This window comes from Homo sapiens, chromosome 2 (genome assembly GCF_000001405.40).
Source record: "Homo sapiens chromosome 2, GRCh38.p14 Primary Assembly".
NCBI lineage: Eukaryota > Metazoa > Chordata > Mammalia > Primates > Hominidae > Homo > Homo sapiens.
Window position 1 is genome coordinate 215,617,582 of NC_000002.12, and position 13,268 is coordinate 215,630,849.

The 13,268-nt window shown below is 38.4% G+C and overlaps 2 long non-coding RNA genes across 5 annotated transcripts in view, besides 2 other annotated features; one reads left to right on the plus strand and one right to left on the minus strand.

The window, feature by feature from the left end:
* The window catches only part of LOC102724861 (uncharacterized), a 168,179-nt gene that overhangs the window by 71,374 nt on the left and 83,537 nt on the right, over positions 1 to 13,268 (plus strand). For all 4 annotated transcript variants that reach the window (NR_187737.1, NR_187736.1, NR_187735.1 and 1 more), the window contains exon 2: positions 4,277 to 4,344. This is a non-coding gene — a long non-coding RNA (uncharacterized LOC102724861). The remainder of the gene's footprint in view (positions 1 to 4,276; positions 4,345 to 13,268) is intronic.
* LINC00607 (long intergenic non-protein coding RNA 607) overlaps positions 1 to 13,268 on the minus strand; it is a 231,974-nt gene that overhangs the window by 6,019 nt on the left and 212,687 nt on the right. The window contains exons 6-8 of the long non-coding RNA NR_037195.1: positions 6,531 to 6,654; positions 5,105 to 5,180; positions 3,537 to 3,769 (exon numbers count right to left, since the gene is read on the minus strand). This is a non-coding gene — a long non-coding RNA (long intergenic non-protein coding RNA 607). The remainder of the gene's footprint in view (positions 1 to 3,536; positions 3,770 to 5,104; positions 5,181 to 6,530; positions 6,655 to 13,268) is intronic.
* Positions 2,505 to 2,799: an enhancer, noted in NCBI's record as "tiled region #4559; HepG2 Activating non-DNase unmatched - State 5:Enh, and K562 Activating DNase matched - State 5:Enh". NCBI's record gives its function as "activates a minimal TATA promoter and a strong SV40 promoter by Sharpr-MPRA in HepG2 and K562 cells {active_cell/tissue: HepG2 | K562}" and the evidence as "EXISTENCE:reporter gene assay evidence [ECO:0000049][PMID:27701403]".
* Positions 9,097 to 9,598: an enhancer, noted in NCBI's record as "NANOG hESC enhancer chr2:216491401-216491902 (GRCh37/hg19 assembly coordinates)". NCBI's record gives its function as "activates a minimal SCP1, AML or CMV promoter by ChIP-STARR-seq in naive H9 embryonic stem cells {active_cell/tissue: H9 hESC(naive)}" and the evidence as "EXISTENCE:reporter gene assay evidence [ECO:0000049][PMID:30033119]".

Consider the following 13,268-nt stretch of genomic DNA (forward strand, 5'->3'; position numbering starts at 1 on the left):
AGATCATGATCTTCCCAGGTCTGGGAAGAGACTCCCCAGGTCTCTCTTGAGCCAGCATTGGCATCAGCCTGTATTCTTCGAGTGTGATGAACAAAACAGCCCTGCTGAATCTTGATTGACATATAACAGGAGCAAAAAATAATCTTTGTGGTTTAAGTCACCATGACTTTGGGGTTGCTTGTTATTGCAGCATAACCTAGTCCACCCAATTGTTACAGGAAGAAGGTCCTGATCCAGACCCCGAGAGAGGGTTCTTGGATCTCGTGCAAGAAAGAATTCAGGACAAGTCCATAGAGTAAAGTGAAAGCAAGTTTATTAAGAAAGTAGAAGAATAAAAGAATAACCCTTGAGGGTTGCTGGTTGCCCATTTTTGTGGTTATTTTGTGATGATATGCTAAACAGGGGGTGGATTATTAGTGCCTCCCCTTTTTAGACCATATAGAGTAACTTCCTGACAATGCCAGGGCATCTGTCAACTGTGATGGTGCTGGTGGGAGTATAGCAGTGAGGATGACCAGAGGTCACTGTCCTCACCATCTTGGCTTTGGTGGGTTTTGGCCAGCTTCTTTACTGCAAGCTGTTTTATCAGCAAGGTCTTTATGACCTGTATCTTGTGCTGACCTTCTAGCTCATTCTGTGGCTTACAATGGCTTCACCTTCTGGGAATGCAGCTCAGTAGGTTTCAGCCATATTTCACCCAGCCCCTGTTCAAGATGGAAGTGCTCTGGTTCACACGCCTCTGACACAATGTTACCATATCCATCCTCACCAAAGCATTTTAAAGGACCTATGTATTTGCAAGTGTTCTCCATTGAGGGAGACAGAATGGATGTACATAATCATTTCAGTGATTTAGGGCAGGGATTTAGACATTTTGATAACTTTCTTGATTTAAAATGTGTAACATTTTATTTTGCTTCCTTCTATTACAGACATGCTGTGCTATGCTTTTCTGAGAAATACTTTTTAATTTTATATTCTTATTCCCCCTTACTCCCAGTTATTTCTTAAAATCTTTTTGATGAATGCTTAATGTTCATTCCCATGAATATAACTGATAACTTTATCTTTTTAAACATTATCTTTTAAAATTTAAGTGCCTGTGTCTATGTAATCTAAGCAATTTTTTAATTTTTATGTTTAGATACTTTATCTGGCAACCACACAATAAATAGAAGACTCTACTCTTCTTTTCTTTAATAAATTCCACAAGGAGCAGAACTAGTAAGAGGAAATTAGTGTTTGAAAAATCAGTATGGCTGTGAAAAGAAAGCTCTCTAAGAATAGGACTATTGTGGCTATGAATTAATGAAAAAATATTCCACTATTTTCTTTAAGTCTATCTTTCTTCAAGATCTTGTAAAGCATTCTTCCAGGCTGCTAATAATTGGCTTTTTTCAAACTTGATATTCAGGCTTAAAAAAAAAAATCCTTTTTTCCAGGTGCTCCCATCAGTAGGGTAAATTTAAGAATTATTTTTACTGGATGTGGATCTTCTTGAGAGAACTGGCAAACCAGGCAACTTTGAAGCTACAGTTTTTTCATTAGCTGGGAGCTGTAACCTGACCCCTCCACCCTGACCACATTTGACCTAAGTGAACACAGTCTGTCTCCGGTACATGGATAAGATTGGAGGGAAAAGATAGTCTGCAGGTCCCCAGCTGAGAGAAGGGGAAGGAGGGAAAGATAAGAACTGTGGTTTCAAATATCCTTAATGGGAATTCTCCACAGTCGTTTTTCATCAGGGCTGCGTGCTGTCAGAGCTTTGATTAGCGCCTCTTCCCTGGGAATCCTTTTGTTTGGTCAGTCTAGTGTTTGAACTTTGGCCAGGCCATTTTTTGTATTCTCCAGGTAACTAGGTCTGTTTTGATACAGCCCCTGGGGAGTGACTCATAGTCTCTAAAGGATAGACCACTATCTGATGTTTTGTTTTCCTCCTATGTCCATACCCTGAAAGGCAAGGGTGATTTTTTTTTCTTTGCTGTTTTCCTGGCTGTTGTCTTGCTGGCTTGGAAAGTCTAAAACGCATTCAAGCCATGGCACCCGGCATTTTCATCAGTATTTTTATTGGTTTGTTTCTTTTTTGGTTATGCATACTGAAAGTAAATCAACATATTAAAAAGCAAGAGAAAGAGATCAGAAAAGGAACGACATTTGTTAGTGGTTTCTGATTTATGAGTCTGAAGGACCTGTCACATTGAGCCTCGGCATGATATTAATTAGCTGCATGGCTGAAACGCCTTGTCAGTGTCGCACATTAAAGACGCACCTTGCAGCCGGGAAGGAGAGACTCTGAAGAGAGGGGAGGGGCGGCTGCAAATACAAACCACGCTGATCACTTTTGCCTGCATCTCCACACTGCTAACAAAAGGCAACTCACCGAGGCACACTTTCCGATTCTTGGTTTGTAAAAGCTGGTGAGAATATCAATGAAGCCCCACCTAATTTTTGCCTATTAATAATTCAGCTCCAGAAAGTGAAAAATATGAAAAACACAACCAGTTTTTCAGTCAATAAGAAAGGCCTTTTTTTTTTTTTTAATTTGGAGTCCTATGCAAGTGGCCTTGTCATGGCAGGGCCTTGACCAGCTCACAGCCGGTGTTCCATTTACAGTAACAGGGCGTGGCAGGTTGCGCAATAGGGCTGAACGGCGCAGTGCTCAGAGGAAGCCCCGACTGTCACGTTGTGCACGGAGTCTTGCAGTCTCTACAGGGGCCAAGAGCTGAGTCCATTTTCAGCCCCTCCACTTCTTCAGTGACATAGTCATCCTCTCCGTTAAGGGACACTGGTGGAAACACGTGCTAAAGCTAAAGAAGCTAAACAAATGCTGGGTGTTTTCAGGAAGGCTACTGAAAACATAGCAGAGAAGCCAGCTTACTCTTGATCCAAACCTCACTAGGCATGTTTGGTGCCATTCTGGGTGCCACATCTTAGGAAGAAGGCACAGAGCTGGGCAAGAATTCTTTCAGGTGGATCTCATGTGGGCCACAGATTGGTCTATTAATTACAGTTGTAACCACCCAACTTCCCCATGTTCCAGTCCCCAGTTGTCCACTGACCACAAAGACTCCTCACGACTGCCTCTCCAAGGAGTCTACCAAGAAAGCACCAGCATCGCTGGGTTGGTCTCTAGGTAGGCAGTCTTCAGGATGCTAGAGAGTTCTTCAACATGGAAGAACTGTGGCCTCCACCCAATCCTGTCTCCCACCTTGTCACTTGAGCCTCACAGGGACAGTGCCCACAGCCTTTGGAAGTCCTGCCTGTGTTTCTGACCTCCACCCTGCCCTACATTTACAAAGTATCTTGTTAAAGTGGTGCATCAGCTTTTGGTCCCCGATATCCTAATTGCCAAGGTGCCAACTCTGTATAAGATGCCATAAAGAGATCAGTTGCTGTCCCCTCCTCTTCACCCTCCACTTCTCTCCTCTTAGACTGTGCCTCCAAACTAACTCCTCCCTCCTTCAGATACAAATGAACCTGGCCCAGGGACATCAGTGATCCCAGAAGGGCCATACAAAGCCAAAATGAAGCCTTACCTTGGCAAGCTGAAATGTCCCATGACTCAACAAATCCTCACCAAATCTCTAGGAAGCATGAGTAGGGAAAATCCACCTTAGAAACAGAATCAGAGGTTGCAGTAATTTTTAGGTAGTCAGAAAGGCAGACAGAGATGCTGAAAGGTAGAGAGAGCCCTTCAGTTGTCTGTTCAGTCCAGTCCAGTGTGGTCTCCGCTGAACCACAAGCCCGTAAGTATAAGTAAGACACAATCCTTAAAAAAAAAAAAATCAAGCATGAAGAACGTCTACTACATCCATGGGACCAAGAGTAGGACATGCATTTTCTTGCTTCACCAGAGCTCGTGGAGACCCAGAGAGGAACTTAATTTAATAATTCAAAGGAGATATAACTTTTGCTGCCCCTTCTTCCAGACATCTGATAAGCCAGGATTCATTTTTATGTTCAGCTATGTGAGACCAAAGTAACTTCTCATGGTTGCCATGGGATACCTTCTAAATATGTGGCCTGATGTGATTTCCCCAAATTGTTAAGCAGTGAAAATATCATAGTTTCTAAGTATACAGATTTTTTTCAATTACATATCTAGATAAATGTGATATTTCCCCTTTGGGTTGTATGATATTAGACTTGGCTATGTTTCAGTAGATTTCAGTAACAGAATTAAAGACTTTCTAGCTACAGGGCATCAATAACTTAGAGACCAGTTAATTTGGGTTGACGATTTGAATGATGCCAACTTATTTTTTTTTTTTAACAGAGGAAATTTGTTTTGCAACAGAAAACATAAGAAATTTTCCCTGCTTGGAAGATACTCATACATACCAGGTATGCTCATCATACTTTGTATAAACCTTGACCAGTGAACTTTTATGTAGTGACTATTTGTTCAGTTGTCCTTCTTCTCTACTAAACATGGGCTCCTGGAGGGCATGGAGTGTGTTGTTTGTCTCTATCCCTAATGTCTAGCACAGTGACTGATGCATTGGCGGTATTCCATAAATGGTGGTTAATGAATTGTACTTGGACAAAGAGGCCTTGGAAGAAAGATAGTGATAGCGTCAAGGAATAAAATTTGTTTTGAATATAAGTCTTTGCCCCACCCACAATTTTTGGCTCTAGGGAGATAATAACAAAGATTTAACTGGAAATTCATTTCCCCACAAATATATAGAAACCCAGAAAATAGACTTAGGATTTAGAGCAGCAAGGCAATATCCTAGTAATCTACTGAAGCAGTTTGGCTGTTCTGCCACCCTGGAGGTAATTGTATTTGCGGTTGAGAAGGGATGCCACATCACATTATGTTGATCTGTATATCCATCACTGCCTGTGCTTTCCTCTGCCACCCCCTTGCATGATACAGTGTAATTCCAGTGATAGAGACTATTGTGACATTGCTAATATGAGGGAAAAAATAATTTTTTAAAATAAGGGATTTAGCAATGCCTGTGAAATGTTGAACATAGATACTTTTTAAAAAGTACTCATTTCTCATTTCTCTTTTACATGCTGGGATGTTTCCTTCAAGCCCTCCTTCATCTAAAGATGATGTAAATTTTCTGGCACATAAATCCCTCTTTCTTACCTTCCTTTTCATCGTTAAATACTCTTTCCTTTCTGAAGGGAAGCACAGTTCCCCAAAGCCCATTGGTTTGCAGCAGCTGCAATAGAAAAAACCTGTGTGGAGTTCAAGTTTTTTTTTTTGTTTGTTTGTTTTTTGTTTTCAGAAGGAGGGAGAAGGGAAGTTCTACCCAAACAGTAATGGCCAGGTAGGAGACTCATACCTATTCTCCATCAGCTCTCTCTGAATCTGCCTGGGTACTACCTGGGCCTTGTCTTCAGGGCTGCAGTTGCCATAACTTCATAGGTTTTTGCAAATTCAGCTCCCAGAAGATGTTTTGTTTATTATTGTTTGCCTGTGATTATGGCCTACAGCTGTAACCACGATTTCCAGCTGACTTGTCAGCAGTTCAGCCTAATTGCAGGCAAAAGGACTCAGCATAATGTAGGTAGGGACCACGTAAGGTGCTCTATACAATCACACAGCCCTGGGCTCCAATCCCGGCTATAGCTCTGTGACTCTGAACAGGTTACTTACTCTCTGAGCCCTTTAGTATACGTGTCTGTAATATCGGAATAAAAATATAGACTTCACTATATTGTCATGGAATTAAGTAAGGTGAGGTATGTAAAGGGTGTGGGAAAGAGGAGGCCCTATAAACAGTACAAATTCATTCCACTTTTGATTAGCTTCCTCTCTCTCCCAGTAGTAACAGAGGCTGCAAGATACAGAGGAAAATGGAAAACGCATCTTTGTTGGGATGCCCTGTTCACTCTTTCTGTCCCACCTCTTTTATATTCTCTTGCTATGGGAGGGCTGAAGGCCTCAGGATGAATGAGGGAAAATGAAGATGAAAACATGTTCTTAAGCGAAAACTTTTAAGAGAAGCAACAATACTTTCCTTGAATTCAAATTTTAAAAATCATAAATAGGCTTTGTATATTCTTTTTTTTTTTCTTTTTTTTTTGAGATGCAGTCTTGCTCTGTCACCCAGGCTAGAGTGCAGTGTTGCAATCTCGGCTCACTGCAACCTCCGCCTCCTAGGTTTGACTGATGCTCCTGCCTCAGCCTCCCGAGTAGCTGGGATTACAGGTGCCTGCCACCATGCCGGGCTAATTTTTTTGTATTTTTAGTAGAGACGGGGTTTTACCATATTGGCCAGGCTCGTCTCGAACTCCTGACCTCATGATCTGCCTGCCTCGGCCTCCCAAGTGCTGGGATTACAGGTGTGAGCCACCGCACCTGGCCAGCCTTTGTATATTTTTATCACTTATATTTGAATACTGTCCAAACAAACTTCCCAGATAAAAGTTCTAAGTTTAAGCTTTGGAAATGTGTTGCTGTGGCCACTTATACTCAAAGAAAAGAGAGGACGAGGGAGGGGGAAGGAAGGAAAGTACTCTGGATCCAAAAGTTCAGGGTAGTTTTACAACACTTTGACAACACTTACTTGCCTGGTCACAGCATTTGCTTTCTCTTACCAGCAGTTTCTTCAAGTTCATGGCATTGCACGTGGAGTGGCAGGACTTATGGAGCGGTTTTGATGCGATATGATACTCTGCCTTAAAACAACTCTAGAGAAAGACACAGGAGACACAAATGAAGTGAATAGACATGCCCTTTAATTAGCATATATTCAAAGACCTGTCATGATGGGGCGATATACTAGGACCTTCAGTTTAACATTACTTAAGTGGGTAAAATGTGCAGAGGAAATTTCTTTGGCCCCAGAGTCTATCTGTCATATACATTTGCTGGGTCCAGCTGTATTTCCTAAATGCTGAACATATCGTTCTGGCTGTTTATATTCTTGGCATCCAGCACTGCTGTGCATTCCCAAGCGCCAGAGAGCACGGAGCGCAGCAGTAGCTTTCCCTAAAAGGCCTGTAAAGCCATGACTAGTTTATTCTCTCAAGGATCCAAGGTACTTGTTAAAGCACAAGATCTGTTGCAACTGACGTGGCTCTGAATTAAATGTGTCGCAACACATTCTTAGGGAGACAGAGTTCCTTTGACTAACAGCCTCCATGTTTGTCAAAACTACTGTAAGCCAAAGGTTAGCAGCAGCATCTGGCAGCACAAAACCAAGTCTACAAAGCTAAAGTAAGCACTAGGCCAGTGAGTCCAATGCCTGCTACAGCTTACTCTCTCCACTGCTCGGTCTGGGTATGAATTTACAGACTACACTGGGTGCATAAAAACAGAGCAGAAACCTGGGTGATTCTTTTACTCCCAGAGAGAGATGCCCAACTCTGTTTTGGAACAGGCAATGTGGTGGATTTTCAAAAACATTTGTTTTCATTGATTATATATTTTAAATGAAAAAAATGACATTTTTAGGTAGCTCAGTTTAAGATATTCAAAATCTCATAGAGGCAGAAACATTAAAAAGGGCTGGGGGAGGGATAGCATTAGGAGAAATACCTAATGTAAGTGACAAGTTAATGGGTGCAGCAGACCAACATGGCACGTGTATACCTATGTAACAAACCTGCACGTTGTGCACATGTACCCCAGAGCTTAAAGTATAATGAAAAAAATAATTAATTAAAAATTTAAACAAAAAAGTAAGTCTAAGATCAAATGGCACAGGAATGCAGTGGAGGGACTTAACCCAGGCTGAGACAGGAGGGGAGGCAATGGTGGCACCATGGGGCTGCTACCAGTTTCCCTGGAACCCCAGATAACTCTGCAATCCGAATAACTGGACATACAGCATCCAGCTTGTTTACACACCTTCACTTTGAGCCACTGGGGGATGGGCAGATTGGTACACAGGTTTTCTAGAGGAGGCCTAAATTAAGGTTTAGAGTGCAAACTGAAACAAATGGGGAGGTGTCACTCTTATAAAGGTTAGAATCCAGCTTTCACTTGAGGCCGAATACTTCTGATGTCTCAGCTTTATGTGTGTTTAACACAGTAGGTATCAAAGCATCTGATATTTCAAAATGCACTTGTGGCCTACCTCTGACTCTGACCTAAAGAGGGAATGAAATAATTTGTAAGCATGGCAGATCAAGGAAAAAGAGAATTTGTTCTAGCAAAAGTCTTTAAAAGGTGATACCTTTGGATATGGAAGTTTCACTTAAAGAATTTTATTTCAAGTGAATACTTAAGAGAATATTTAGTTACAAGTATATCCATCACTGTTTTGTTTTCTTCTTGAAAGAAAGGAAAAACAGGAAGCCATCTAAATATTTGTCCAACAGTAACACATTATATGGTACAGTCCTATAATAGAATAATTTACAGTCTTTAAAAAGTGATTTTATAGAATAATATGAAAAAATGGAATGACATTGTTCAGAAAAAAAAAGCAAATTGAGAGTCATGCTATGAAAGACACTACAAAGAGGGTAAAATGACAAAATATTTGCAAATCATATATTGGATAAAGAACTTCTATCCAAAATACAAAAAAAAGTCAAAAAAACTCCATGAGAAACTAAAACCCAATTTTAAAATGAGCAAAGCATCTGAACAGATACATCACAAAAAAAATACTGATGGAAAATAAACATATGAAAAGATGCTTAACATCACTTGTGACTAGTGAAATGCAAATTAATACAACAATGAGATGCCAGTACACATCTATTCGAATAGCCAAAATCCAAAGCACTGATAATACAAATTGCTGGCAAGGAAGCTAAGCAACAGGAACTCTCATTCATTTCTGATGGGAATGCAAAATGATATAGCCACTTTAGAAGACAGCTTAGCAGTAAAGCAAAACTTAGTCTTACCATATGATCCAACAATCAGGCTCTCAATTATTTACCCAATTGATGTGAAAATATATGTCCATGTGCACAATATGTGCATGCACATGAAAAATCCACATGCAAAAATATTTGTAGCAGCTTTATTTATAATTGCCTAGAAGCAACTAATATGTCTTTTAATAGGTGAGTGGATCAATAAATTATGACACATACATATAATGGAATAATATTTAGCAATAAAAAGGAATGAGCTATCAAGCCATGCAAAAATATGGGTAAATCTTAAATGCATATTTCAAAGTGAAATAAGCCAATCTGAAAAGTTTGGATACCGTATGATCCAATTTTTATGACATTCTGGGTAAAAACAAAACAAACAAAAACTGCAGAGACGTCAAACAGATCCATGGTTGCCAGGGGTTTAGAAGAGAGATGGTCGAATAGGTGAAGCAAGGGAAGCTATTTTTTGGGTGGTGAAACTCTTCTGTATGATATTGCAATGGTAAATACTTAACACTGCATTTGTCAACATTTATAGAACTTTACAGCACAAAGAGTGAAACTTAAAGCGTGTGAATTTTCAAAAGTCATTTAAGAGTCCAGGGGATCCCGGGTTGGAATGCAGACTATGACAAAGGAATTTCCGTTAGAAATATATAAAACGACCTCACTGAAGAGAGTGGGGGTAAAAGTGCCAAACTAAATAACTTTTTGGAATGAGTGGAAAGTAAAACTGTACATAAGCACTGTACTCTAATTGGTAAAATTATTGCCCATGAGAATAGGGGTTAACAATTCTGAAACCACCATATGTGCATCCTAGAATTGAACAATTAAGTAAATAAATGGCAGATGGTGGAAACTAGGTTTCTCACTATTGGAGTAGGAGTTTACAGAGAAGCAAGAAAATAAGTCTAGAATGATTCATGTACTGGATTAGAGTTGGAGATATCAGCATGAACTCATATTTAGTTTAATATAGATACAAATGAATGTATAGGAAGAAATAATTATAGACATGTTTGCATACACCAGTTAGTGTACACCACATACATGTTTTCTTGCTCTGTTAGCTGAGAGAGCCTCAAAGCAACAAATTCAAGTACCAATGAGCCCACTCAGTGCCCAGATATTGATTTCTAATACCATTCTCCAATAAAAGAATCCAGAGCTCCTTGGAGAAATGGCTGATCTCAGGTCAGGCAGGGAGAATGTAAGTCTGAAGCATCTTGTAAGTGCCAGAAAGTAAAACTTGCTCAAGAAAACCCACAACAATGGGGCATGTCAAAGGGACACAGCAGCCAACTGAAGAGCTCCCAATGGCCAAACCTGGAACAATTTGAGCAAAAAGATAAATAACAGTGTTGGATTATAACCCATAATAATGAATAAATATCAGTTAATATTGTTACAAATAAGTGATTGAATATATAAGTGAGAGAGAATAAAAAATATATAAATTATCTGTAAAGAAGAATTCCAAATAATTTATGTAGATACTGCCCCACTTTAAGGAGTAGAACATAACTTCCCATTTCTTAACAGTGGGCTCTACACAGTGACTTCCTTCCAAAAAGCACAGTATGAAAAGTGTAACTTCATTGTGGAGAGAACTGACAAGCTACCTCAGCCAGATGATCGAGGTTGACATGTACAGTAATAAGTCATGCTGATAGTATGTATCCTTGATATGTTGGGATGATAATGGCATTTCTGGGGTTCTCCTCCCCAATATTCATAACCCCAGCATAATCATGAGAAAAAAACAAACATCTCAAATGAGGGACATTCTACAAAACAACTAACCATTATTATTCAAAACTGTCAAAGTCATCAAGAACAAGGAAGCGTGAGAAACAGTTATAATCTAAGCAGCCTAAAGACACAATAATTAAATGTAATGTGGTATCCTGGATGGGATTCTCGAACAGAAAAGGAATATAGGGTAAAAAGTAAAGAAATATGAATAAAGAAAGCATTGACTTCAGTTAGTAATAATGTATACTGTAACAATGTGGTCTATATGGGAAGTCTCCACTATCTTTACAACTTAAAAAATTTAAGCTTTAAGTATAAATCTTAAACTAATATAAAATAGAAAGTTAATTAAACAAAGAGCGTGTTCTATAATTTTTCTGAATTTGTAGTTAGATAGATATTTAGATAGATAGATAGATACACATATGGCCACATAGAAAAAAAGAAAAAAGCTATATCAAAATATTAACAGTGGCTATTGGTGGTGGTGTGATTAGAAAGTATTATTTCCTTATTTTGTTCATCTGTATATATGATTTCATAATACAAAAACAAAAATAAATTGTGAGTCTTTATTTGGACCAGAATACTTCCCTAAGTACAAAAATAAGAATCATATCTAGTATTTAAAATTTCTAAAAATATTTAACAGGCATGCAGTATGGAATAATTCTGTCGGGGAACAATATAAAAATTACTTTTTAATTTAAAACTCTTCTCCCAGTATGCTCTTTGATAGTGCCTAAGGATAAATGTAAAGAAGAATAGTTATTTCTTAAACTAAGAATTTGACAAAACATAGCCCAGAAAGAGTCTCAAGTTAATCTTCCAGAGGAATTCCAATTCCCTCTTTTAATTCATTCACTTTCCTGATTCTAATTTCTTATGTAATTTAAGATGTTTTAAAACCTCTAGAGAGGCTGGTCTGAGGCTCCAAGGAGGTGCTCTCAGATGACCCTTGAATTCCGTTCTAAGCACACCTCCTAGAGCAGACTCTTGCCTTGTAGATTAGGAGATGATGGTTGTGCACAACGTCAGAATGCTGGTAATGTCATTAACACCTTCTCCAGTGAGAAGCAATTAGCTATTTTCAACAAAAATGTATTCTGTAATTCCCATGATGCCTTCGCTTACTCTTTTCAAAATTATTCAATCATTCTGTGCTTGAATTTATTTGAGATAGGCCATATATAGATATAAAATTATATATATAATATATAATATATATTATATTATATATTTATATATAATATTTATATATAAATAATATATAAATATATTATATAAAATTATATATTATATATAATTTTTAAAACAGTTAAACATGCACTGTTTTATTTCAGTGAATGGAAGATTTTGTTTTAACTTTTATTTTAGGTTCTGGAGTATATGACCAGGTTTGTTATATAGGTAAATTGCACGTCTTGGGGGTTTGGTGTACAGATTATTTCATCACCCAGGTAATAAGCGTAGTACATAATAGGTAGTTTTTGGATCCTCTCCCTCCTCCCACCCTCCACCCTCGAATAAGCCTTGGTCTCTGTTGTTCCCTTCTTTGTGTCCATATGTACTCAGTGTTTAGCTCCCATTTATAAGTGAGAACATACAGTATTTGGTTTTCTGTTTCTGTGTTAGTTTGCTTAGAATTATGGCCTCCAGCTCCATACATGTTGCTGCAAAGAATATAATCTTGTTCTTTTTTATGGCTGTGTAGTATTCTGTGGCGTATATGTATTAGATTGGTGCAAAAGTAAATGCAGTTTTTGCTATTACTGTCAAATGGCAACAATCACAATTACTTTTGCACCAACCTTTATGACATTTTATTTATCCAGTCTATTGTTGATGGGCATTTAGGTTGATTCCATGACTTTGCTATTGTGAAAAGTGCTGTGATGAACATAAGCATGCATGTGTCTTTATGGTAGAATAATTTCTATTCATTTGGGTATATACCCAATAATAGGATTGCTGCATCAAATAATACTTCTGTTATTTGTTCTTTGAGAAATTGCTACACTGCTTTCTACAATGGCTGAACTAATTTACATTCTCACCAGCAGTGTATAAGTATTCCCTTTTCTCTGCAACCTTGCCAGCATCTGTTATTTTTTGACTTTTTAATAATGGCCATTTTGACTGGTATGAGATGGTATCTCATTGTGGTTTTGATTGCCTTTCTCTAAAGATCATTGATATTAAGGCATTTTTTCATATGCTTTTTGTCCACCTGTATGTTTTCTTTTGAAAAGTGTTTGTTCATATCCTTTGCCCACTTTTTAATGGGGTTTTTTGTTTTTTGCTAGTTAATTTAAGTTCCTTATAGATACTGGATATTAGACCTTTGTCAGATGCAGTTTGCAAATATTTTCTCCCATTCTATACGTTGTCTGTTTACTCTGCTGATGGTTTATTTTGCTGTGCAGGAGCTCTTAGTTTACTTACATCCCACTTATCACTTTTTGTTTTTGTTGCAATTGCTTTTGGTGTCTTTGTCATGAAATCTTTGTCAGGGCCTATGTCCTGAATGGTATATCCTAGGTTATCTTCCAGGGTTTTATAGTTTTAGGTTTTACATTTAAGTCTTTAATCCACTTCGAATTGATTATTGTATATGGTGTAAGGGAGGGATCCAGTTTCCATCTTCTGCATATGGCTAGCCAGTTATCACAACACCATTGATTGAATAGGGATTCCTTTCCCCA